At 39.6% G+C, this 27498-nt stretch overlaps 1 protein-coding gene and 1 pseudogene across 5 annotated transcripts in view, besides 2 other annotated features; both read left to right on the top strand.

Annotated features, from left to right (window-relative positions):
- The window catches only part of WDPCP (WD repeat containing planar cell polarity effector), a 721268-nt gene that overhangs the window by 201802 nt on the left and 491968 nt on the right, over positions 1-27498 (top strand). The window lies entirely within an intron of this gene.
- On the top strand, positions 16016-16941 carry PRELID1P6 (PRELID1 pseudogene 6; annotated as a pseudogene).
- Positions 22870-23732: an enhancer, noted in NCBI's record as "OCT4-NANOG-H3K27ac-H3K4me1 hESC enhancer chr2:63842427-63843289 (GRCh37/hg19 assembly coordinates)". NCBI's record gives its function as "activates a minimal SCP1, AML or CMV promoter by ChIP-STARR-seq in naive and primed H9 embryonic stem cells {active_cell/tissue: H9 hESC(naive and primed)}" and the evidence as "EXISTENCE:reporter gene assay evidence [ECO:0000049][PMID:30033119]".
- Positions 23733-24595: an enhancer, noted in NCBI's record as "OCT4-NANOG-H3K27ac-H3K4me1 hESC enhancer chr2:63841564-63842426 (GRCh37/hg19 assembly coordinates)". NCBI's record gives its function as "activates a minimal SCP1, AML or CMV promoter by ChIP-STARR-seq in primed H9 embryonic stem cells {active_cell/tissue: H9 hESC(primed)}" and the evidence as "EXISTENCE:reporter gene assay evidence [ECO:0000049][PMID:30033119]".

The following is a 27498-nucleotide window of genomic DNA, read 5'->3' as shown; positions in this document are numbered from 1 at the left end:
TCACCTAAGTTGCCAAATTTCTGAACATAGAATTGTTCTTAATATTCCCTTATTATTCTTTGAGTGTATGCAGGTTCTATAATGATATCCCTGTTTTCTTCTTGATATTACTAATTTGTGTCTTCTCTCTGTTTTTTCTTTTCAGCCACCCTAGAGGTGTGTCAACATTACTAATGTTTTCAAGGAAACAGTTCTTTGTTTCATTGATTTTTTCCTTTTTTTTTTTTCTTTTTTTCGAGACAGAAGCTCCCTCTGTCACCCAGGCTGGAGTGCAGTGGTGTAATCACGACTCACTGCAACCTCAAACTCCTGGGCTCAAGTGATCCTCCCACCTCAGCCTCCTGATTAGCTAGGACTACAGGCATGTACAACCATACCTAGTCAATTTTTTAAATTTTATAGAGACAGAGTCTCACTATATTGCCCAGACTGGTCTCATAATCCAGGCCTCAAGCAATCCTCCTGCTTCTGCCTTCCAAAGTGTTGGGATTACAACTGAGAGTCACTACACCCAGCCCACTTTTTCATTTTTTAAAAGCTTTATTGAGGTATAATTGATAAAATTGTATATATTTAAAGTGTACAAGATGATGATTTGATATATGTATAGATTGTGAAATGATTACCACAATGAAGTTAATTAACATAATCATCGCCTCACATAGATACCTTGGATGTGTGTGTGTGTGTGTGTATGTGAGAGAGAGAGAGAGAATGAGAGAGAGAGAATGCTTAAGATGTACTCTCATAGCAAATTTCAAGTATACAGAACAATATTTTTAAGTATAATTCTCACACTGTACATTAGAACCTCAAATTGTATTCATCTTATTACTGAAGGTTTGCACCCTTTGCCCACCATCTCTTCATTTCCCACAGCTCCAGTCCATGGCAACCACCATTCTACTCTGTTTCTATGAGATCACAATGGCAGTATTTCCTTCATTTTATGACTCAATAATATTCTATTGTACATACATAACACATTTTTTATCCATTGATAAAATCCAATCCAATGTTCATCCATCCAATGAACATGAGAGTGTAGATATCTCTTTAAGATACTGATTTCCGTGACTTCAGAGCTATACTCAGACTTGGGATTGCTGGATTATATAGAAGTTTTATTTTTAGTTTTGTAAGGAACCTCCATACTGTTTTCTATAGTAGCTATACCAATTTACATTCCCACCAAAAATTTGAGACAGTTTTCATTTATCCACATTTTTGCCAACGCTTGGTATCTTTTGATATTTTTTATTAGAGACATCCTAACAGATGTGAGATTATCTCTCATTGTGGTTTTGATTTGCATTTCCCTGATGGTTAGTGATGTTTAGTACCCTTTCCTGTATCTGCTGGCCATTTGTGTATCTTCTTGGAAAAATATTCATTCAGGTCTTTTGCCCATTTTGAAACCAGATTATTTGTGTATTTATTGTTTTTTTGTTTGTCTGTTTGTTTTGCTATTGAGCTGTATGAGTTCCTTATACATTTTAGTTGTTAGTCCCTTATATCAGATATATTTTCTCCCATTCTGTAGGTTGCCTTTCCATTTTGTTGATTGTTTAGTTTGCTGTGCAAAAGCTTTTTTTTTTTTTTTTCTGTTGTAGCCACTGGTTTTTTTTGTTTGTTTCTTTGTTTTTGTTTTTTTGTTTTTTCTTTTTTTTTGTGAGACGGAGTCTTTCTCTGTCACCTAGGCTGGAGTGCAGTGGCATGATCTCGGCTCACTGCAACCCCCATCTCCCAGGTTTAAGCAATTCTCTGCCTCAGCCTCCTGAGTAGCTGGGATTAAAGGCACGTGCCACCATGCCCAGCTAATTTTTTGTATTTTTAGTAGAGGTGGGGTTTCACCATCTTGGCCAGGCTGGTCTTGAACTCCTGACCTCATGATCCACCCTCTTTGGCCTACCAAAGTTCTGGGATTACAGGCATGAGCTACCGCGCCCAGCCGCCACTCTTGTTTGTTTTTGCTTTTACTGCCTGTGCCTTTCGTGTCATAGCCAAAATATCACTGCCAAGACTAATGTCAAGGAGCTTTTCTCTTTTTCTTCTAGGAGTTTTACAATTTCGAGTTTTACACTTAAATGTTAAATCCAATTTGAGTTAATTTTTGGAAGTGATGTAAAGTGGGGATACAGTTTCATTTCCTTGCATGTGGATATCCTGTTTCCCAACACTGTTTTTTGAAGATATTATCTTTCTTCATTGTGTATTCTTGAAGCCCTTGTCAAAGACTGGTCGACTGTACATGTGTGGGTTTATTTCTGGGCTCTGTATTCTGTTCAATTGCTTGGTGTGTCTGTTTTTAGGCCAGTATTGTACTGTTTTATTACTATTTGTAATGTAGTTTGAAATTAAGAAGTGTGATGCCAGCCTGGACAACATATTGAGACCCTGTCTCTACAAAAAGTGAAAAAAGATTAGCCAGGCATGTGGTATGTACCTGTAGTCCCAGATACATGGGAGGCTGAGATAGGAGGATGTCTTGAGCACAGAGATTGAGCCTGCAGTGAGCCATGATTGCACCATTTCACATTGCCCTCCAGTCTGGGCGACAGAGTGAGAATCTGTGTCAAAAAAATAAAGGAAGTGTGATGCCACCAGCTTTGTTTTTTCTCAAGATTGCTTTGGGTGTTTTGGGTCCTTTGTGGTTCCATCCAAATTTTAATATTGTTTTTACTATTTCTATGAAAAATGATGATAAAATTTTGACAAAGATTGTATTGAATCTATTGATCACTTTGGATAGTATGGACATTTTAACAATATTCTTCCAATCCATGAACATGGGATATCTTTCCATTTGTTTATGTCTTCAATGTCATCGTCAACGTTTTGTAGTTTTCAGTGTACAGAGCTTTTACCTCCATAGTTAAAATTATTCCCAAATACATTAATTTTTTTGATGCTATTGTAAATGGGATTGTTTTCTTGATTTGTTTTTTGGATAGTTCCTTGTTGAAATGTAGAAACTGATACAACTGATATTAATATGTTGATTTTCTATCCTGATATTATATTTCATTTGTTGATTACTTCTAACCAATTTTTGGTGAAGTCTTTAGGATTTTCTATGTACAAGACCATATCATCTGCAAACAGCAATTTTACTTCTTCCTTTCCAATGTAGATATCTTTGATCTGTTTTTCTTCCCTAATTGCTCTGGCTAGGACTTCCAGTACTATGTTAAATAGAAGCGGCAAGAGAGGACATCCTTGTCTGTCTTGTTCTACTTCTTAGAGGAAAACCTTTCAGATTTTCACCGTTGAAATGATATTAGCTGGGAGCTTGTCATATACGGCCTTTATTATGTTGAAATACATTACTTATGTGCCTAATTTGTTAAGAGTTTTTATCATGAAACATGTTGATTTTTAAAAATGCTTTTTCTGCATCTATTGAGATGATCATATAATTTTTATCCTTTATTCTGTTAATCTGGTGTATCATCTTTATTGATTTGTGTCTATTGAACCATCCTTGCATCTCACTTGATTATGGTGTTTGATTCTTTTAATGTGCTATTGAATTCAATTTGCTAGTATTTTGTTGAGAATTTTTGCATCTGTGTTCATCAGGGATATTGACCTCTAATTTTCTTTTTTACAGTATCCTCATCTGGTTTAGGTATTAAGGTAATGCTGGCTTCATAAAATGAGGTTGGAAGTGTTCTCTCCTCTTCAATTTTCTGGAAGAGTTTGAGAAAGATTGGCATTAATTCTTCTTTGAACATTTGGTAGAATTTGCCAGTAAAGCTACTGTTCCTGGTCTTTTCTTTTTTGGGAGATTTTTGATTACTGATTCAATGTTCTTATTATTTATGTCTATTCAGATTTTCTATTTCTTCATGTTCCAGTCTTGGTAGTTTGTATGTTTCTAGGAATTTATACATTTCTTCTAGGTTATCCAATTTACTGATGTATAATTATTTATAGTAGTTGCCTATGATCCTTTGTATTTATGGAGTAGCAGTTGTAATGTCCCCTGTTTATGATTTTCTTTATTCAAGTCTTCTCTGTTTTTCTTACTTAATTTAGCTAAATGTTTGTCAGTTTTCTTTATCTTCTCAAGAAACCAGCTCTTAGTACCATTGATCTTTTCTATTGCTTTTCTACTCTCTATTTCACTTATTTCTGCTCTGATCTTATTTTCTTTCTTCTGATAACTTTGCACTTAGTTTATCCTTTTTTAGTTCCTTAAGGTATAACATTAGGTTATTTATTTTGTTACATTCCATAAGTTTTGGTATGTTGTGTTTTCATTTTTATTTGACTCAAGATATTTTTAAATTTCCCTTTTGATTTCTTCTTTTATCCATTGATTGTTCTGGAGTGTGTTGTTTAATTTTAACATATTTGTAAATTTTTCGGCTTCTTAAATTTGTTAAGACTTGTTTTGTAGCCTGACATATGATCTACCCTGGAGAATGTTCCATGTGTGCTTGAGATGAATGTATATTCTGCTGCCATTGGATGGAATGTTCTGGATATGTCTGTTAGGTACATTTGATCTAAATTGTAGTTCAAGTACAATATTTCCTTATGGATTTTCTGCTTGGATGACTGTCCATTTTGAAAATGAGATGTTAAAGTTTCTACTATTATTGTATTGCCATAGATTTCTCCCTTTAGGCCTTTAATATTGGCTTAATATATTTGTGTGTTCCAATACTGGGTGCATATTTACAATTGTTATATCCTCTTGATGAATTGACCCCTTTATCATTATTTTGACTTATAGTTTATTTTGTTTGATATAAGTATAGCTATCCCTGCTCTCTTTCAGTTTCCATTTGCATGGACTATCTTTTTCAATTCCTTCACTTTTTCAGCCTATGTGTTTTCTTAAAGTTGAAGTGAGTCTCTTGTAGGTAGCATATAGTTGTATCTTTTTTGTTTTTGTTTTTGTCTACTCAGGCAGTCTATGTTTGCTAGTTGACTGGGGGATTTAAATCCCCCTTTTTTCGAGATGGAATCTTGCTTTGTTGCTGGAGTGCAGTGGTGTGATCTCAGCTCACTGCAACCTCCACCTCCCAGGTTCAAGTGATTCTCCTTCCTCACCCTCGTGAGTAGCTGGGATTACAGGCATGCACCACCATATCTGGCTAATTTTTGTGTTTTTAGTAGAGACAGGGTTTTACCATGTTGGCCAGGCTGATCTGGAACTCCTGAACACAAGTGATCCACCCGCCTTGGCCTCCGAAAGTGCTGGGATTTCAAGCATCAGCCACTGCACCTGGCCGAATTTAACCCATTTAAATAAAAAATAATTGTTTATAGGTAAGGACTTACTATTACCATCTTGTTAATTGTTTTCTGGCTGTTTTTAGTTCCTTTGTTCCTTTCTTCCTTCTTTCCTGTCTTCCTTTGTGGTTTGATGGTTTTTCCATAGTGGAATGCTTTGATTTTTTTCTGTTTATCTTTTGTGTGTCTACTATAGATTTGTACTTTGTTGTTACCATGCGGCTTCCATAAAATATTATATAATTATAACAATCTATTTTAAGTTGATATTAACTGAACTTCAACTGCATACAAAAACTCTACTCTTTTACTCGCCTCCATTTTATATTTTTGATGTCATAATTTACATTTTTTGTTTTTATATTATGTATCAATGAACAAATTAATGTAGCTTTAGTTATTTTTAATGCTTTTGTCTTTAAACCTTTATACTATTACAATAATTAGCACATTCTGAATTTGACTATATATTTACCTTTACCAGTCAGTTTCATACTTTCTTATGTTTTCATGTTTCTATTAGTGTCTTTTCATTTTAGCTTGAATAACTCCCTTCAGTATTTCTTACATGGAAGGTCTAGTGGTAATGAATTCCCTCAGCTTTTGTTTGTCTGGGAATGTCTTTCTCTCTCATTCATTGCTGAAGGACAGCTTTGCAGGGTAAAATATTTTTGATTGGCAGATTTTTTTCTTTCAGGACTTTGAATATATCTCACTCTCTCCTGGCCTATAAGGTTTCTGCTGAGAAGCCTGCTGGTAGCCTTATGAAGATTCCCTTGTATGAGATGAGTTTATTTTGTCGTGCTACTTTCAAAATTTTCTCTGTCTTTGATTTTTGACAGTTTTATTATAATGTGTTTTGGTGAAGTCCTCTTTGGATTGAATCTGTATGGGGATCTATGAGCTTCATATTCCTATATATCCATACATATCCCCAGACTTGGGAAGTTTTCAGACATTATTTCTTTCAATAAGCTTTCTGCATGCTTTGCTCTCTCTCTCTTCTCCTTCTGCAACTCCCATAATGTATACATTGGGCTGCTTTTTGGTGTCCTATAATTCAAATATATTTTCTTCACTTTTAAAAATTTCCTTTTTTATTTCCCTAACTGGATAATTTCAAATGACCTGTCTTTGAGTTTATACTTTTTCCCCTCCACTTGTTCAAGTCTGCTGTTGATGCTCTCTATTTCATTTTGCATTTTATTCATTGCATTCTTCAGCTCCAGTATTTCTGTTTCTTTTTTATAATTTCTATCTGTCTGTTGAACTTCTCGTTTTGCTCGTATATTGTTTTCCTGATTGCATTGAGTTGTCTATCTGTGTTCTGGTATAGCTTACTGAACTTCCTTTAAACAATTATTTTGTATTCTTTGTTTGGCAGTTTGTAGGTCTTTATTTCTTTGGCATTGGTTCTTGTAAAATTATTGTGTTCCTCTGGTGGTATTGTGTTTCCTCTTTTTTGTTCTCATGTTGATGTCTGTGTATGTTTCCACTATTTTTGTTGTTGTTGTTGTTCTCATGTTGATATCTGTGTATTTTATGGAGCAAGCCTTTCTTCCAGATTTTACAAATTGGTTTTTGTGGGGAAAGACCTTCAACAAGGCGGTGCTGTGCTGGTGCAAGGGCACTGGAAGAATGGGGTGATGGTTTCAGCTCTATAGAAGGAACAGTGGTGTAATATCTGTGCAGCTCTGTCAGCTGAGATCATCATCAGTAACGATTGCAGGGGTCCTCAACATACATAACAGCCTATCCTTTTGTGGGGGTGCTCAGCAGTATCTCTCTCTCTGGGGAGTCTGTGGCAGCAATGACTGTTCATTATCTCAATAATGAAAGATGCCAGTGTCCTCTGCAGAGCAGGATGCTGGGGTTGGCACCAATGAACACTACAGGGTTCTCCACAGTGAAAGCTGCACAGAGTCTGTGGCTGTCATCAGGGCTATTGAGTTCCTGAGCAGCAAAGGTTGCTGGAGTCCTCCATTGAGCAGGCCACTTGGGGTTACAATGGCACCTGCAGCATGGCTGATAAAGATAGCCCCTATGCCTTGCCTTTACTCCCAGCCATCTCCAGATGTCTCTAATTAGCTAATCTCCTTAGCAATCTTTTCTGTATGGTTATTATCTTTTTTTGCTCCACTGTATTGCTGTAGTTTTTAAACGGACATTTGAGCCCTCTCAGGGCTATTTTTATCCTTGGATAGCTGTTTAATTATTATTTTTTGTTAGAGGAGGGAGGCTGTTATCTCTTACTCCTCCATCTTGCTGACATCATTCCTCTCCCTATTGTTTTTCTATTTTCAATTTTATTGGTTCCACTTTTATGTTTATTTTTCCCTTCTGCTTGCTTTTTTCTCTCTTCTTTTTCTAGCTTCCTTAGGTGGAAACTTAGATCATTAATTTGAAACTCTTCTTTTCTAATGTATGCATTTAGTGCTATAAATTATTTTCTCAGCACTGCTTCAGCTGTGTTTCACAATTTTTTTAAAATTTATTTTGAGATGGAGTCTCACTCTGTTGCCTAGACTGGAATGCAGTGGCGCAATCTTGCTCACTGCAACCTCTGCCTCTCGGATTCAAGTGATTCTCCTGCTTCAGCCTCCTTAGTACCTGGGATTACAGGTGTGCACTGCCACACCCAGCTAATTTTTTGTATTTTTAGTAGAGATGGGGTTTGACCATTTGGCCAGGCTGGTGTCGAACTCCTTACCTCAGGTGTTCCATCCACCTAGGCCTCCCAAAGTGCTGAGATTATAGGTGTGAGCCCACAATTTTTGATATATTATATTTTCATTACTTGTTTACTTTCCAAGTATTTAGTGATTTTCCTATTGTCTTTCCATTGTTGATTTCTAATTTGACTTCACTGTGATCAGAGAACATACTCTGTATTATTTCAGTTCTTTTAAATTTGTTGAGGTTTGTTTTATTGCCTAGAATAAGGTCTATCTTGGTACATATTCAGGAAAACTTGAAAAGAATGCATACTTTGCTGTTTGGAGGGTAGAATTCTGTTGGTTGATGTTGTTGAGTTCTTCTGTAGCTTACAGATCTTTCTGTCTCATTGATCTATCCATTGTTGAGAAAGAGGTGCTGATATCTCCAACTATGATTGTGTATTTGTCTATCTCATTAATCCTATCAGTTTTTGCTTCACATATTTTGCATCTCTGTTGTTTGGTGCATACATATGTAGGATTGCTATGTCTTCTTGGTGGAATGATCATTTTATCATTACATTAAAGGCCTTCTCTGTCCCTGGGAGTTTTTTTCTCTTTATCTGATATTAATATAGACACACTTGCTTTCTTTTTGATTAATGTTTGCATGATATCTTTTTTCATTCTTTTACTTTCAACCCTGTCTCTATCATTATATTTGAAGTAAGTTTCTTGTAGACTGTATGTAGTTAGGTCATCTTTTTAAATCCCTTCTTTCAATCTGTCTTTTAACTGATGCCTTTAGACCATTTTCCTTTAAAGTAATTATTGATATATTAGAGTTTAAATCTGCCACTTCATTTTTGCTTTCTATTTGTTTCCTCCGGGTTTTGTTTCCATTTTATTTTTCCTTAATTCTTGTGGGTTACTTGAATACGTTTGTGAATTCTATTTATTTAGATACAGTTTTTTGAGTGTATCTTTTTGTTATAATTTTTTCATGGTTGCTGTAGATATTGCACATCACTTATGCTTAGCTTTTCTGATTTTTCATTTGTTCCAAGCATGTTCATAATTTCTCATTGAAGCATTTATAATAGCTGCCTTTAAATCCTTGTCAGATTTAAATCATAACGTTTCTGTCATCTCAGTATTGGCATCTATTCATTGTCTATTTTCATTCAGTTTGAAATTTTTTAGTTCATGGTGTGACAAGTAATTTTCAATGGAAATCTGGACATTTTGAGTATTACATTATGAAACTCCAGATCTTAGTTACATGTTTTGTTTTACATGGCTTTCTCTGACAGTGCTACGGCAGGAAGGGTGGGGGCACCACCGCTTTATTGCCAGCTGAGGGTAGACATTTAGGTCCCTCCCTCAACCTCCACTGATACCCAAGTGGGGTTGAGGGCTCCTTGTTACTGCTGGGTGGGAGTGGAAGTTCCAACTCTCCACTAAGCCTTTACTGATACTTCCTGACTGAAAGGGGTAGGAGTGTGTCATCATTGCTTCCCGCATGGCCTCCACTGCCACCAGGAGGGAGGTGGCTTTCTTTGCTGATATAAGTCCTTACTGTCCACTAGCTCTCCTCTGATACCACATAGCATGTAGGTGGGAGAGGAGTGCCTCATTAATACCGAGTACGGTGGAAGTCCAGACTTCCCATGTAGTCTCCACTGATACCGTAAAATTTCTCAAATTTCCTAGTGGGATGAAAGTCATAGAATTCTACTTGGCCTTCTCTGATACTTCCCCAGTGGTGGGGTTATGATGCCTTTTTACAGCACGGCCTGAGGGGAACTTTGGGCTCCCCATTTGGCATTTGCTGGTGTAGCTAAGATGGGGTTACAGTTCTTTTCTGTGGTGTAGAGCAATTATTGCCTAGAAGTTTTTTCTGTTGCAAAGCTGCCCCCTTTCCTGCTCCTTTGGCTAGAGAGAGCAGACTTATGATGGGCTTTTTTCTTTGTTTGTCTGTGCCTGTTGGTGTTTCCACTTTGCTGGCTTCTGGGATCTATACAAGGTAAAAATAAAGCCCAGAGAACTCACCACCATGTTACTCCTTTAGTTATACTTAGAGGAAATAATAGATGAAAGAATGTCTACTCTACCTTTCTAGAAGCTAAAGCCCTGTGAAACTTTTTGTTTTGTTGGGTGGTTGTTGTTTTGTTTTGGAAACTCATTGTTGAGTCCAAGTGTGGGACCACTAGACTAGGTAACTGTGAAGCCCATTCCAGCTCCAAGTTGGTTTTCTGTATTGTGGTCCTGGATCTGGGTTCTTAGGAGGCACTTTGCAGGCATTAGGTCAATTGGTTGCTAAGCCAGTTGCCATAGGATGTGCCCTTCTCTCAGACCCCTGTGATTGTCTATTAAAAAGTTGAGCAGCTGCTGTAAAGGACATTATTACCAACTCCCTTAGGCCACATACCAAGATGTCAAATTGGGAGCTGGTCCTTTGTATGGAAAAACTGAGGCCTCCTAAACCAGATGGTATCTAAACTCACAGCTGTGAATTTCCTCATAGAACAGAAGCTTGAAAAATTTTCTGTTTTGAATCTTAAACTGAAACCTCTCTATTTTAAGATCACTCTGTCTTAGTTTTTCCTCAGTTGAAACTTATGCTTTTTAAATCGATTATTTTAAGATAGCTCTGTTGTGGTTTCTGTTTAGAAAGTCATACATAGAATTGTCAGAAGGTATGTTCATTAGCAAAATATTTTATATTATATTTGATATTATACAAAAAAGATGATATCTATTCTCTCTCACTGAGTGAATGTAATTATCTTTATGATATTCATTTTGTTTTGAAAGTGGAAAATAGCATTTTTTTCTATTGAGAAAAAAATTTTTTATCGCTATAAAATAGAAAAATAGTAGTTACCATTATCCTATTTTGTAGAGCAGAAAGCTGGTATATAGACTATATATAACATTACTGAAACAGGAGATTTTCCCTGACCCCTTTGCGGGCCTCGGCGACAAGGCTGCCTCAGCTTTCTCAGCCCACAGCTCTCAACCCCTAGCAGGACCAGGAGCACGCAGGTGGGCGGGTGCCAGGAGTCCTCGCGGCAGGATCCAGTCTGGGGATACCCATGACCCCTAAAGCCCCAGAGGGTGTGCGTTACAGTGCGCTCTTTTAGTTTTGCCGTCCGAGGACGGCTCAAGTGTTAAACAGCTCAGTGGGCCCTCTGCGTTTTTGCGTCAGGCAGTTGCTCTCCACCAGGAGGGCAGAGGGTCAGTGTGACAGCCTTTAGCATCTGCAGACATGGCACCCAAGCTCTTGTTCGGCGTCCAGGAAAAATCAGGTCCCACGAACAAATTGAAGGGTGGTGAATGCAGAGGATTTTATTGCCGATGGAAGTGGTGCTCAGCTGGAAAGGGAATGGAGCGGGAAGGTATTCTTCCCTTCAAGTCTGGCAGTCTCTGGAGGGACTCTGCTCCGAAGTCCCACTGTCAAGCCGTCCCGTTGAAGTTAAGCTGCTTCTCTCCAATGTTCAACTACTCCTTCTCTTTTCCCTTTATCTGCTCTCTACCAGTGGAGCCTAGGGTTTTTATGGGTACAAGATGGGGGGCAGGTCGGGCCATGGGTGGTTGGAAAAGGCAACGTTGGAGTGGTAAAACGGGAATGCATGTTCTCACTTTGGGCTGTGGTTCCAGGCTTGAAAGTGGAGCTTCGCAAGGGACCCCGCCCTTTTCTGCCTAGAATTTCTCTGCCTCCTGTCTTTATCATTACAGATATGATTTTCAGTATTTTTAAAGAACGAAAAGAAGTTTCTCTATGTCTCTCTAATCTCTGTGTCTCTCTAATCTAGTCACTGACTAGGGTGTAAAAATCGTCAGTGGAATACTCCTTGAATATTATAACTCCAGATCATGACAATCTTGGGGGAGGTTGACAATACATGAGCTTTGTCTTTTCAACTAAATGTTGTGTTCTAGCAATCCTGTTATTGGAAAACTGAGAATAAAAATTATAGCATTTGAGATTAATGTTTTAGAAAACAAAATAACTAAGGTCAAAGCAGAAAAATTACTTATTAATGGAAGTAGTCACCAAATGTGTCATTCAACTAATTCTTGGATTTTGTTGTTGTTGTTGTTATTTATATATTTTATTCTCTTGGGCTTTTTTTTTTTTTAATTATGCTTTAAGTTCTGGGATACATGTGCAGAACGTGCAGGTTTGTTACACAGCATGACATGTGCCATGGTGGTTTGCTGCACCCATCAACCCGTCATCTACATTAGATATTTTTCCTAATGGTATCCCTCCCCTATCCTTGCACCCCATGGCAGACCCCAGTGTGTGATGTATTGTATTTCTGGTTCTAGATCCTTGAGGAATGGCAACAATGTCTGCCACAATGGTTGAACTAATTTACATTCCCACCAACAGTGTAAAATCGTTCCTGTTTCTCCACATCCTCTCCATCATCTGTTGTTTCCTGACATTTTGATGATTGCCATTCTAACTGGTATGAGATGGTATCTCATTGTGGTTTTGATTTGCATTTCTCTAATGACCAGTGATGATGAGCTTTTTAAAATATGTTTATTGGCTGCATAAATGTCTTCTTTTGAGAAGTGTCTGTTCATATCCTTTTTTAATGGGGTTATTTTTTCTTGTAAATTTGTTTAAGTTCTTTGTAGATTCTGAATATTATCCCTCTGTCAGATAGATAGATTGCAAATATTTTCTCCCATTCTGTAGGTTGCCTGTTCACTCTAATGATAATTTATTTTGCTGTGCAGAAGCTCTTAGGTTTAATTAGATCCAATTTGTCAATTTTAGCTTTTGTTGCCGTTGCTTTTGGTATTTTGGTCATGAAGTCTTTGCCCATGCCTATGTCCTGAATGATATTGCCTAGGTTTTCTTCCAGGGTTTTTACGGTTTTAGGTCTTACATTTAAGTCTTTAATCCATCTTGAGTTAATTTTTGTATAAGGTGTAAGGAAGGGGTCCAGTTTCAGTTTTCTGCATATGGCTAGCCAGTTTTCCCAACACCATTTATTAAATAGGGAATCCTTTCCCCTCTGCTTGTTTTTGTCAGGTTTGTCAAAGATCAGATGGTTGTAGATGTATGGCCTTATTTCTAAGGCCTCAGTTCTGTTCCATAGGTCTATATATCTGTTTTAGTATCAGTACCATGCTGTTTTGGTTACTGTAGCCTTGTAGTATAATTTGAAGTCAGGTAGCATGGTGCCTCCAGCTTTGTTATTTTTGCTTAGGATTGTCTTGGCTATATGGGCTCTTTTTTGGTTCCATATGAAATTTAAAGTAGTTTTTTCTAATTCTGTGAAGAAAGTCAATGGTAGCTTGATGGGGATAGCATTGAATCTATGAATTACTTTAGGCAGTATGGCCATTTTCACGATATTGATTCTTCCCATCCATGAGCATGGAATGTTTTTCCATTTGTTTGTGTTCTTTTATTGCCTTGAGCGTGGTTTGTAGTTCCCCTTGAAGAGGTCCTTCACATCCCTCTTCACATCCCTTGTAAGTTGTATTCCTAGACATTTTATTCTCTTTGTGGCAATTGTGAATGGGAGTTCACTCATGATTTGGCTCTCTGTTTGTCTATTATCCGTGTATAAGAATGCTTGCGATTTTTGCACATTGATTTTGTATCCTGATAGTTTGCTGAAGTTGCTTATCAGCTTAAGGAGACGTTGGGCTCAGACGATGGGGTTTTCTAAATATACAATGATGTTATCTTCAAACAGAGACAATTTGACTTCCTCTCTTCCTGTTTGAATACCCTTTATTTCTTTCTCTTGCCTAATTGCCCTCGCCAGAACTTCCAATATGTTGAATAGGAGTGGTGAGAGAGAGAGCATCCTTGTCTTGTGCCTGTTTTGAAAGGGAATGCTTCCAGCTTTTGCCCATTCCGTATGATATTGGCTATGGGTTTGTCATAAATAGCTCTTATTATTTTGAGATACATTCCATCAATACCTAGATTATTGAGAGTTTTTTGCATGAAGGGGTGTTGCATTTTACCAAAGGCCTTTTCTGCATCTGTTGAGATATTCATGTGGTTTTTGTCATTGGTTCTGTTTATGTGATGGATTACGTTTATTGATTTGCATATGTGGAACCAGCCTTGTGTCCCAGGGATGAAGCTCACTTGATAGTGGTGGATCAGCCTTTTGATGTGCTGCTGGATTTGGTTTGCCAGTATTGTTTTGAGGATTTTCACATCAATGTTCATCAGGGATATTGTCATGAAATTTTCTTTTTTTGTTGTCTCTGCCAGGTTTTGGTATCAGGATGATGCTGGCCTCATAAAATGAGTTAGGGAAGCGTCCCTCTTTTTCTATTGTTTGGAATAGTTTCAGAAGGAATGGTACCAGCTCCTCTTTGTACCTTTGGTAGAATTCGGCTGTGAATCCATCTGGTTCTGGGCTTTTTTTGGTTGGTAAGCTATTAATTCCTGACTGAATTTCAGAATTTGTTATTGGTCTACTCAGGGTTTGACTTCTTCCTGGTTTAGTCTTGGGAGGGTGTATATGTGCAGGAATGTATCCATTTCTTCTAGATTTTCTAGTTTATTTACACAGAGATGTTTATAGTATTCTCTGATGGTAGTTTGTATTTCTGTGGGATCAGTGGTAATCTCCCCTTTATCTTTTTTTATTGTGTCTATTTGATTCTTCTCTCTTTTCTTCTATATTAGTCTGGCTAGAGGTCTATCTATTTTGTTAATCTTTTCAAAAAACCAGCTCCTGGATTTATTGATTCCTTGAAGGGTTTTTCTGTTCTAATCTGCAGTTCTGCTCTAATCTTAGTTATTTCTTGTCTTCTGCTAGCTTTTGAGTTAGTTTGCTCTTGCTTCTCTAGTTCTTTTAATTGTGATGTCAGGGTGTCAATTTTAGATCTTTCCCACTTTCTCCTGTGGGCATTTAGTGCTATAAATTTCCCTTTAAACACTACTTTAGCAGTGCCCCAGAGATTCTGATACGTTGTGTCTTTGTTCTCATTGGCTTCAGAGAACTTACTTATTTCTGCCTTAATTTCGTTATTTACCCAGTAGTCATTCAGGAGCAGGTTGTTTAGTGTCCATGTAGTTGTGCAGTTTTGAGTGAGTTTCTTAATCCTGAGTTCTAATTTGATTGCACTATGGTTTGAGTGACTGTTTGTTATGATTTCTGTTCTTTTGCATTTGCTGAGGAGTGTTTCACTTCCACATATGTGGTCAGTTTTAGAATAAGTGCAATGTGGTGCTGAGAATTTATATTCTGTTGATTTTGGGTGGAGGGTTCTGAACATGTCTATTAGGTCCACTTGGTCCAGAGCTAAGTTCAAGTCCTGAATATCCTTGTTAATTTTCTGTCTTGTTGATCTGTCTGATATTGACAGTGGGGTGTTAAAGACTCCCACTATTATTGTGTGGGAGTCTAAGTCTCTTTGTAGGTCTCTAAGAACTTGCTTTATGAATCTGGGTGCTCCTGTATTGGGTTCATGTATATTTAGGATAGTTAGCTCTTCTTGTTGTGTTGATCCCTTTACAATAATGTAATGTTCTTCTTTGTCTTTTTTGATCTTTGTTGGTTTAAAGTCTGTTTTACAGAGACTAGGAATGCAACCCCTTCTTTTTTTTTTTTCTGCTTTCCATTTGCTTGGTAAATATTCCTCCATCCCTTTATTTTGAGCCTGTATGTGTCTTTACACGCGAGGTGGGTCTCCTGAATACAGCACACTGACAGGTCTTGACTCTATCCAATTTGTCAGTCTGTGTCTTTTAATTGGGGCATTTAGCCCATTTACATTTGAGTTTAATATTGTTTTGTGTGAATTTGATCCTGTCATTATGATGCTAGCTGGTTATTTTGCCCATTGATGCAGTTTCTTCATAGCGTTGATGGTCTTTACAATTTGGTATGTTTTTGCAGTGGCAGGTACCAGTTTTTCCTTTCCATATTTAGTGCTTCCTTCAGGAGCTCTTGTAAGGCAGGCCTGGTGGTGAAAAAATCTCTCAGCATTTGCTTGTCTGTAAAAGACGTTATTTCTTTTTCATTTATGAAGCTTAGTTTGATTGGATATGAGATTCTGGGCTGAAAATTCTTTTCTTTAAGAATGTTGAGCGGGGCTGCGCCGGAAGTGGCGCGCGGTCGGACAACTCATGGCGGCGGCAGCAGCTGCTTGGGCGCCGTGCGGTGGTGACTGAGCTACGAGCCTGGCAGCAGGTGTGCGCCGAGCCCCGGCCTGGCCCGGCCCCCGCGTGCCTCCCAGGCTCCGCACCCCTGATGCTGCGCGGGTGCTGAGCCCACTTCGGCCAGGACGATGGTTAAGTATTTCCTGGGCCAGAGCGTGCTCCGGAGTTCCTGGGACCAAGTGTTCGCCGCCTTCTGGCAGCGGTACCCGAATCCCTATAGCAAACATGTCTTGACGGAAGACATAGTACACCGGGAGGTGACCCCTGACCAGAAACTGCTGTCCCGGCGACTCCTGACCAAGACCAACAGAATGCCACGCTGGGCCAAGCAACTATTTCCTGCCAATGTTGCTCACTCGGTGTACATCCTGGAGGACTCTATTGTGGACCCACAGAATCAGACCATGACTACCTTCACCTGGAACATCAACCACGCCCGGCTGATGGTGGTGGAGGAACGATGTGTTTACTGTGTGAACTCTGACAACAGCGGCTGGACTGAAATCCGCCGGGAAGCCTGGGTCTCCTCTAGCTTATTTGGTGTCTCCAGAGCTGTCCAGGAATTTGGTCTTGCCCAGTTCAAAAGCAACGTGACCAAGACTATGAAGGGTTTTGAATATATCTTGACTAAGCTGCAAGGCGAGGCCCCTTCCAAAACACTTGAGACAGCCAAGGAAGCCAAGGAGAAGGCAGAGGAGACGGCACTGGCAGCTACAGAGAAGGCCAAGGACCTCGCCAGCAAGGCGGCCACCAAGAAGCAGCAGCAGCAGCAACAGTTTGTGTAGCCAGCCCACCACCACCACAGCAACCCAGACAGCTAGGCTTAGCCCCTCTGCCCTCCCTCCATTGTACTTTATCATTAAAAATCAACTTCCAAAAAAAAAAAAAAAAAAGAAAAAAGAAAGAATGTTGAGGGGTGAGGGGAGTGGGGAGGGGGGAGGGATAGCATTGGGAGATATACCTAATGCTAGATGACGAGTTAGTGGGTGCAGTGCACCAGTACGGCACATGTATACATATGTAACTAACCTGCACATTGTGCACATGTACCCTAAAACTTAAAGTATAATAAAAAAAAAAAAGAATGTTGAATATTGGCCCCCAGCCTCTTCTGGCTTGTAGAGTTTCTGCAAGCAGATCCACTGGTAGTCTGATGGGCTTCCCTTTTGGGTAACCCGACCTTTCTTTCTGGCTGCCCTTAACATTTTTTCCTTCATTTCAACCTTGGTGAATCTGATGATTATGTGTCTTGGGGTTGCTCCTTTTTAGGAGTATCTTAGTGGTGTTCTCTGTATTTCCTGAATTTGAATGTTGGCCTGCCTTGCTACGTTGGGGAAGTTCTCCTGGATAATATCCTGAAGAGTGTTTTCCAACTTGGTTCCATCCTCTCCATCACTTTCAGGTACACCAATCAAACGTAAGTTTAGTCATTTTACATAGTCCCGTATTTATTGGAGGCTTTGTTCATTACTTTTCATTCTTTATTCTCTAATCTTGTCTTCACATTTTATTTCATTAAGTTGATCTTCAATCTCTGATATCCTTTCTTCTGCTTGATCAATTCGGCTATTGATACTTGTGTATGCTTCACGAAGTTCTTGTGCTGTTTTTCAGCTCCATCATGTCATTTATGTTCTTCTCTAAACTGGTTATTCTAGTTAGCAATTCCTCTAACCTTTTTTCAAGGTTCTTAGCTTTCTTGCCTTGGGTTAGAATGTGCTCCTTTAGCTCAGAGGAGTTTGTTATTAGCCACCGTCTGAAGCCACCTTCTACATCAGTTAATTTGTCAAACTCATTTTTCATCCAGTTTTGTTCCCTTGCTGGTGAGGAGTTGTGATCCTTTGGAAGAAAAGGGGTGTTCTGGTTTCTGGAATTTTCAGCCTTTCTGTACTGGTTTTTCCTCATCTTTGTGGATTTATCTACCTTTGGTCTTTGATGTTGGTGACCTTCGGATGGGGTTTTGGTGTGGGTGTCCTTTTTGTTGATGTTGATGCTATTGTTTTCTGTTTGTTAGTTTTCCTTCTAACAGTCAGCCCCTCTGCTCAGGTCTGCTGGAGTTTGCTGGAGGTCCACTGCAGAGTCTGTTTGCCTGAGTATCACCATCAGTGGCTGCAGAACAGCAAAGATTGCTGCCTGTTCCTACCTCTGGAAGCTTTGTCCCAGAGGGGCACCTGCCAGATGCCAGCTGGAGCTCTCCTTTATGTCTGTTGACCCCTGCTGGGAGGTGTCTCCCAGTCAGGAGGCAGGGGGTTCAGGCACCCACTTGAGGAGACAGTCTGTCCCTTAGCAGAGCTCAAGCACTGTGTTGGGAGATCTGCTGCTCTCTTCAGAGCTGGCAGACAGGAACGTTTAAATCTGCTGAAGCTGTGCCCACACCCACCCCTTCCCCCAGGTGCTCTGTCCCAGGGAGATGGGAATTTTATCTGTAAGCCCCTGACGGGGGCTGCTGCCTTTCTTTCAGGGATGTCCTGCCCAGAGGGGAGGAATCTAGAGAGGCAGTCTGGTTACAGTGGCTTTGCCAAGCTGCAGTGGGCTCTACTCAGTTCGAACTTCCGAAAGGCTTTGTTTACACTGTGAAGGGAAGACTGTCTACTCAAGTCTCAGTAATAGTGGATGCCCCTCCCCCTACCAAGCTTGAGCATCCCAGGTAGACTTCAGACTGCTGTGCTGGCAGTGAGAATTTCAAGCCAATGAGTCTTAGCTTGCTGGGCTCTGTTGGGGTGGGATCCGCTGAGCTAGACCAGTTGGCTCCCTGGCTTTAGCCCCCTTTCCAGGGGGGTGAACGCTTCTGTCACACTGGTGTTCCAGGTGCCACTGGGGTAGGAAAAAAAACTCCTGCAGCTAGCTCGGTGTCTGCCCAAATGGCCACCCAGTTTTGTGTTTGAAACCTAGGGCCCTGGTGGTGTAGGCACCTGAGGGGGTCCCCTGGTCTATGGGTTGCAAAGCCTATGGGAAAAGCGTAGTATCTGGGCCGGAATGCACCATTTTTCATGGCACAGTCCCTCACGGCTTACCTTGGCTTGGGGAGGGAGTTCCCCGACCCCTTGCGCTTCCCAGGTGAGGCAATGTCCCACTCTGCTTTGGCTTGCTCTCCATGGGCCGCACCCACTGTCTAACCAGTCCCAATGAGATGAGCTGGGTACCTCAGTTGGGAATGCAAAAATCACCCACCTTCTGCATTGATCTGCCTGGGAGCTGCAGACCAGAGCTGTTCCTATTTGGCCATCTTGCCAGCCACTTCCTAATCCTTGTATTTTTATGTGAACCAGTTACATGGTGCTAATATTTGAAATCGATAATAATTATTGAAAGATCTCCTTAGATACAAAGCATGGTGCCAGGCACTGTTAAAGAATAGAAGATGTAGATCCTTTTTTTCAGGTGCTTACAATCTAGTAAAATAGGACATAGACCGAGGAAGAGTAAATAATGACAGCAGTTAAGTTCAAAGGGAGGCAATGCTGCAAGGAAGTGCATGACCAGTGGCCACATGAGTTAGCTGTACCAAAAATCTATGAAAGCTTTGAAGAGGAAGGCTCATTTTAGATTGAGCTTTATAGAGTAGATGATAATTGAATCAAGTCATCAAGGGTAGGAGGGATGTGGATATATGAAGGTAAAGAAGGTTGGGTACTCCAAGTCTTGAAATCCCTTCTGTTAAAATCTTTTAAAAGGAAGCTGGATAATTTTCTCTGATGATCTGTTACCCATGACCCAACATACTGATATCAGTTTAAAACTCCTCTCTGCCCTTCACTATTTTTGCGTGCTCCCTAAATGGCCAGCCAACTAACATGGATTGGAGGAAGGGAGTGGTGGTCAAGAAACAAAGAAGATGACAGAATAAAGTCCTCCTGGGAGACCTGATAGTGGTTCTGTTTAATTTTACATTTTAACACGGATCAGGATGAAATAGATCCTCTTCACACCATACAATTTACAACCCATTTAAAACAAAAAATGATTATCCAGGCTGGACGCAGTGGCTCATGCCTGTAATCCCAGCACTTTGGGAGGGTGAGGCGGGCGAATCACTTGAGGTCAGCAGTTTGAGACCAGCCTGACCAACATGGAGAAACCCTGTCTCTACTAAAAATACAAAATTAGCTAGGCGAGGTGGTGCATACCTGTAATCCCAGCTGCTCAGGAGCTGAGGCAGGAGAATTGCTTGAACCTGGGAGGCAGAGATTGCGGTGAGCGGAGATTGCGCCATTGCACTCCAGCCTGGGCAACAAGAGCGAAACTCTGTCTCAAAAAAAAAAAAAAAAAAATTACTATCCCACTTCTATCCTTCTATCAAAAGTAACACATTTTAAAAGGCCCACAGTACCCATGCTTCAAAAAGTGAACCAAGGGCATGCAGAATTGTCAACTAGAGCTCAAGAGTGTTGAATAAGAAATCGTTCCAGCGTGGTGGTATCAGTATCTAAGGGAGGAACATAGGGGATAATCACTGATCATTTCACAATTGCAGTAAATGAATTCAGGAAAGAAAAAGAAAATGCTTAACACCTGGGCAATTAAATTCTTAATAATAAATTGGTGATGAGACTCGAATGTACTTTGTGTGTTGAAGGAAAGCAATGAAGTCCATTTCTACCTTAGTTGCCGATTGTACTTCCCGTTAAGCTATTAAGTTCAAAGGTGCAGTTTCCCCCCAGGAAATAAAACCTTCCAGATAAAGCTTTCCCAGTTCTTCATTCCACTCTGTGCTGGCTGAGTTTTCATTCTAAGCACTTGCTTGAGCATTTTGGGGAATCTTCTTCTCAACAGGGCGTTGATATTTGAGCAGAAAAGAAAATTGTTCTTATTTCTGACTCAAAGGTGGTATATTTACATAAGCCCCTCTTTCATTTAAATCTGTCTTAATCCTCAAGGATTTAGTAATTGAAATGCAAAATGCATTTTTTTATCAATGGAAAAAAAACATAAGAGAAAACAAACAGTACAGATAAAGAATTTTTAAAAACTATTTTCTTTTTTATTTTCATGTTGTCTTGCCTAAAAGCAGTGTGGTTTCAAGATAAGTGTTTGTATTTACCTGATCTGGGTTGAAAACAAATGTGTACATATATGCATATGAAGGGGTTCAGAACATGCCATTCTAAAATATGTTGCTTTGGCATGCTGATTATTTTGAGCTAAAAGAAATTGAGAACCAACTCTTTATCTCAACTGCCTAAAATAAAGTATAAATTTCCTCTTTTATAAAGGAAATTTACATTTATAAAGGAAATTTTCATTAGTAAAGGTATTTGTTCCAGGAAGATGGCCATCCCTGAAGACAACTTTTATCACCTGAGAGACTCTTATCTGTATAACAAGGCAGGCAACTTTTATTCACTATACATTTCCTCCTCTAGCCTTCCCACAATTTGCCTCCACCACCCCTGAGCAGCCCCAAACCCCTATTCCTTTCTGTAACCGCAGACAATATGAAAGTCTCAATCACCTGGCTGCTTAGTTTCATATATCTGTGGGACTCCTATGTGTACATATGTAATTATTTTTCTCCTATTAATCTATGTCAGTTTAATTCTTAGACCAGCCACAGAACCTAGAAGGGTATAAGAAAGCATTTTTCCCTCTCAAACACGTATGAAATAAGGAAGATATGAGGTTATAATTTCATTTGAAAGTACAATGTAATCATTTTAATCTTATTTTCAACCCATCTCTAAGTTCAAGATAATTTTGAAAATCCTTATTTTCAATTTCATAGCTGAATTGAAAGGCAGCTGGTCTACATTATCACTCCAACAAATACATTAAAACATGGTTAATTATCTCTTATGGCTGCAAGAGCATGGCCAATGTGGAATTTATTCTGTGTCTTGAATGGCTTTCTTGAGAGTTATTACAAATTTTTCCTGTGGTGAGGTGCTAATTACAAGTGCTCAGTTCTGCCCCAGAAGACCTGCTGCCAAATCAGAGACAAGGCAAAAGCTCCTGGTTTGCATCCATTTCTAAATTTGTTTTTCCACCTACTCCAGCTTTATTTTTACTTTTGGGGATGTTAGAGAAAGGCATTTTGTTTTTACAAACAAAAAATTCTTAAACCGTAAATATCCTTGTCATTACTTCAATTAAAAAAAAGCATTTTGTTGGATAATCTCAAAGTTTCTTCTAGCTTTAAAATCCTTCTATGGATTGTAATTTTATTTAGTCCTTTTCACATTATCACTAATATCCTTATTTGCATATACTTTTTAAAATAATGATTTTTTTCTTCTCCACGTGGGTTGCTGTGTTTAAATAATGCTACTTATTTGCATTCTAATATAGGAGGAAGGGAGGAGAGTAATATGGTCTCTTTCCACATAAGCAAAGTTGTCCACTAATCAACATTATTGGCAATACTAAAGCCACTAGAATCTTAAAATTATTTCGTTTTTGTTTTATATTTCTTATTTTATGCTATAGAGTAAAGGATATATAAAAGACTCAAAGGTGCACATTAGACTTACTTTTGCATGTTAAAAAGAAATCTAGCCTATTAGGCTAAGGTGAGGGTCTAGCATGGACTGGCTCCTACTTACCTCTCCAATTCCATTTTCAGCCCCTTTACCCTCCCTCCCTTAATTCCCCCAGTTTGTTTTAGGCCTAAACAGACCTTTTCTTTCCTAAAACAGGAGGAGTTTTTTCCAGGCTCAAGGCTTTTCCATTTATAATTCCCTTTGTGAGGTAAGGAAGGAACTCCCCCTCTCCCTTCTTATTCTTCAGATCTTGGCCTTAAATATCAATGCCTCAGAAAGATTTAGAGAACCATCCCTATCTAAGTAGATTCTCACCTCTGTAAGTTTCTTAACATTGCACTATTTCCTGCAAAGAATTTATTGTACTATATGTGTGTTATTTATAGTATGTTCCATAAAGATAGAATTCATCAATGTACCTGGAATTAGCACAATGCCATGCACAGACTAATCTCTCTGTTGAAAAAATAAATGAACAGGAGAGCATTAACTCTGAGCAACTTTATTCTGGAAATGCCCCAGCTCAAGCCTGAGAATATTATTATTACCAAGGTAACTTCCAGCTAGAATAAGTAGTGCTATGAATTTAGCTCTATGGTGAAACGAGAAAGCTTATTCTCAGGGCCACAAAGTAAGAGAAGAAGCATGAGTAGAAAATCATGCACACATAAATCATGTGCAGAACCCAGGTGTAATCCTAAGGGTTGTGGCTGACACCCCTCTTGAAATGGCCTCATTGCCTGGGGTGGCACCTGAAGTTCTTGGTCTTGTGGCCAAGGAAAGCAAGGACACAAACACACCAAGGGTGAGGTTAGAGCAGAAGTTTAATAGGCAAAAGAAACAGCTCTCTGCTGCAGAGTGGGGTCCCCAAAAGTGTTGCCATTCTGCAGGGAAATGCAAGGGTTTTTATAAATGAGTTAGTGGGGAGGGGGTATCTTATTTACCTAGGGCATGAAAAACAGGTTAGAACCAGGTGTGCCATCTGCACAGAGCACAAATCTCTGGCAGCCCCCACCCCTACCTTTTATTATGCAGACGGCTCCTTGGCCTGAGCTTCTTCGCATTGCTTATTTCTTTCCTACTGTGCATGTGCTGAAAAAGGGGAGGTAGATCCCGCACGGTGGACATGCCTGGCCCCAGGTACTCCTTTTTTGTTGGTGCGGCTGCAGGCATCTCCCCATGAGTATGTCGTAAAAAGGAAAGGAATGTGCTCACTAAGGCCCATTGTGTTTACTGGGATCCACCGTATGTATGTGAAACTTGCCAATTACCCAGGAAGCTCCACCTCTGTGTCATAGCTGCTTCCTTATCTGTGTTTGCAGCCTGATCTTCCAGGCTGCTCTTTGTTAAAAGGTAAGTGATTTCCTGGGCTGCTTTTTGTTAGAAGGGAAGTTCTGCCGAGAACTCTTTGCCCTGTCTGCCTAGCTAGTGTCTTTCTACCTCCTCTCTCACTATAACAAAAACAGGTTAACAAGAGAAAAGCCTAACAAACTTATTTTATCAAAGTTTTATGTGATACGGGAGGCTTCAGAATGAAAATCCCCAAACCTAGGGAAAATTGTCTGTTTTTATGCTTAGGTTCAATGAAGAATAGACAGTTGCGTAGAAATGTGATTGGATACAGGGTATGATCTAATGGTAATCAACTGAGGGGAGAAACCTAGCAAGGCCTGTCTGTTCAGATTCTTGAAATTCCTCTCTGGGAAGCATTTCATCCTCCAAGGTATGGGGCAGAATTCCTATGGAATGAGGTTCTTCAAGTGAAAAGGGAAAAAGAGGTCTTTCTAGGTTTTATGACTTGTTTTGGGGAACAGGAGTTTTAATTGCTATGAGTCACCTTGGGGAAGAGGAATACTAGTTTATAGGCCTGCTTTGGGGAGGAAAAAGGATGGGAGACAAGAGGATAAGAGAAGGTCAGAGAGAGACTTTGCTTCTGTGGTTCTTCCAGCCTCTTTCATTTCAAAGTACTCAGCATACCAAAGACATCATACCTTGGGCTGTTGTGTTCTGAGCCCTAACAGTGCCATCTCCCTCTAAGTATAAAATGATAGAGTTCATCTAGGCTTCATTAGGAGTAAGACTAAGTGGGTAAACATAGGAGTGGAGGGAAAGTTTGCCATTTGCCTTCTGAAGGTTTGCTGAAATGAACTGACAGTAGGGAGATTAACAGGAGAAAAAGGCATACAAATTTATTAACATGCAAGTGTGTACAGAAGCCATACAAAATATGAAACTCAAAGAAGGGTCAGATGGTTGAGGTTTAAAAATCTTCTTCATAGGGGAGAGGGAATGGGGGATGTGGGCAATTTTGAGGGGTAGTAAATGATTTTCAGGATAATTGAATGAGCCCAAAGAACAGACATTGTTCTGGAACAAAACTTCATTCTGAGCACTAGGGGAGGTGGTGGGATAGTGACGGTCAGAACTTCCCTGTGAACGGAGGTTCTTATATTATGTAAATAAAGTCTCCCAGGTAATCTCTTGGAGCTGCTCTCAGAAAAATGAATAAAAAGTCTGTCCGAGCATGGTGATGATGTTTAGTCTTTTCTCCAGTGGTTAATCTTGCCTAGTTATTTGATGAGATTCCTAGGGAGGGGGTCTTAAGACAATTGCATTTCTTTTGAAAGAAGTTTTCCTCAGTCAGACAAGGGAAATACCAGAGATAACCTCTCCCTGTGCTTGGGGTTTGGGGTAGAAATAAGAGAAGGCTAGAAACTCCTCGGTTCTTAGCCTTTCCAAGTTCCTTTAATTCAGAAGTGTTCGGCATGACAAAGCATCATACTTTGGGGTATTGTTCTCTGCACTCCAACAGTGGAAGTGGTGAATAATGTTGGTGTTTCTGCCCAGATTCCTTTTAGCACCCATGCTCCCATTCCCTTGGACTTTCCTTTGCTTCTAACAGCTAGCATCTGGGGTTCTTTTTGGAGGACTGTGCCTGTACTGCTACAGCCTGCTTTGCTGGCAGCATAGAGAGCAGGCAATGGCTGGGAATTACATTCTCCACCCCCATCCCATGATTGGGAGGTTTGGGAGTATGAAATAAAAGCCCCAGGCTCCTTGCCTAAGAACAGAAGTTTCCCTGATTTCATCAGGCTGGAGCCATCCTTGGCTAGATGCACCATTGCTTGGCTTCCTCCTTTTCCCTGCTCCTGCTCTTCTTCCTTAGAGATTTCTCCTGGGAGCACTGCCTTAGTAAATCACATGCATTTGAATCCTCAGAAACCTCATTTTAGGGTCTACTACTGGAGGACTAGTCTTAAGACAGTGGGACAAAAGTTCTTGGGATTTTCCCCCCTTAATCAATATGCACATGTTGACTACCTATGTGTAAGGCAGTCTAGAGAAGCAGAGAAGAGCATTCTAAGCAAAGAGAACAGCCAAACAAAGGCATGGAGCCATGCACGTGACTAACTGTCCAAGTACTTTAACATGGCCAGCATGGAAGGTATGGAAGGTACAGGGAATAATAGTCAAAGACGGGGCTGGAAGGTGTCACTTGAGGCCACATTATAATAGACTTTGAAGTGATGCTAAGAAGTAAAAAAAAAAAAAGAAAGAAAGAAAGGAAAAGAAAAGGAAAAAACCTATGGGGAGAAAAAAATAACATTTTTCCCCTACCTGCCTAGGTCCTAGCCTCCATCTCGGGCCCTGGAAATCTAACTGACAAAAGACAGATTAACAAAAGAAAAACAGAATTTACTAACACATGTAGTACACATACATGTGGGAGAAACTCAGTGATGAGTAACTGAAAACGATGGTTAGAATTTGAGTTTATATAGCATCTTCACAAAAAACCAGCCCATTTAGATGTGACAAGACAAAGGAAAAGGTTTTAAGCTTTCAAGGGTGGTAAACTGTGGAAAGGTAAGTGTATGGGGGAAACAAAAGGAATAAGGTTTGTTTTCATATGTCCATGTCAGTGCCAACTTTCTGTCTTCTTCATGGTCATGAAACTTCCCTAGGAGAGAGGATTTATGGCAGTCCTTATTTTCAGAAGTTTCTGCTTTTAGTCAGACAAGGGAGGCGCTGGGAAGGCTGCTTCTGTATCTGTTGAATCTGAAATGACTTTAGCTCAAAATACTTCTTATGCTAAAGTGGCATATTTTGGGGTGGCGTATTTCGATCCCCTACAAACCCAATAAGTAAATTGAGCCCTTACCATGTGCTTTCCATTTAAATAATCCTCACAAAAACATTTTAAAGGTTGTACTATTAATATCCCCATTTTGTATCTGAGGGAGTCAAAACGTAGAAAGGTTGTTTAAGGACACCTAAAAAGAGTCAGAGCTGGAATCCAAGCTTGTCTGACTTCCAAGCCCATGAGTTGGTCTATTCTTCAAAAAACGTGAAGTAAAATGTCGTTGTTAATCAGTAACTCTAGAGCAAGTCTGGATTGGACTAGGGAGAGAGGGGAGGCATAGACTCCAAACTGAGCTCCCATTTCCATTGTTATTGCAGAAGTCTTTTATGAAGAAATAATGATGGCTTGGACCAGGGTGATGGTGGTAAGGACATGAGAAAACTGGATGGTTTTAAAGATGTCTATTCTGCTTAAAAGTGCTTTACTCAATTGTGCTACCCAGGTCAGGCTATGAGTTTGATTTAGAATACGAGTCTATTCCCAGCAGAGTTAGAGGGCAAATTGACAAGAACCCATTTATTCAACAATGTGTATTGAACTGTCACTATATTGTGCTGGATGATACCAATTAGGTGACACTACTGGAATGAAAGCGTATATATTTCTACTGAGTCAGTAACCATTTTAGTTTGTCTAAGAACCCACCAATATTCAGAAATCAAAACAGATATGTTTCTTGTTTTGAGGTTTGTTTAAAGCCATCAAGATCATAAAGATGATGAGTTCTCATACCAATTTCACAAGGACAACTAGGAACTTATTTTTGTTGCTTTTTGTTTTTCATAGTCAAATTCTTAAGCTTACATACCAAAA

The sequence above is a fragment of the Homo sapiens genome, chromosome 2, assembly GCF_000001405.40.
Source record: "Homo sapiens chromosome 2, GRCh38.p14 Primary Assembly".
NCBI classification, from domain to species: domain Eukaryota; kingdom Metazoa; phylum Chordata; class Mammalia; order Primates; family Hominidae; genus Homo; species Homo sapiens.
The sequence above is the reverse complement of the archived record's forward strand: the minus strand, read 5'-3'. Positions and strand labels throughout refer to the sequence as shown.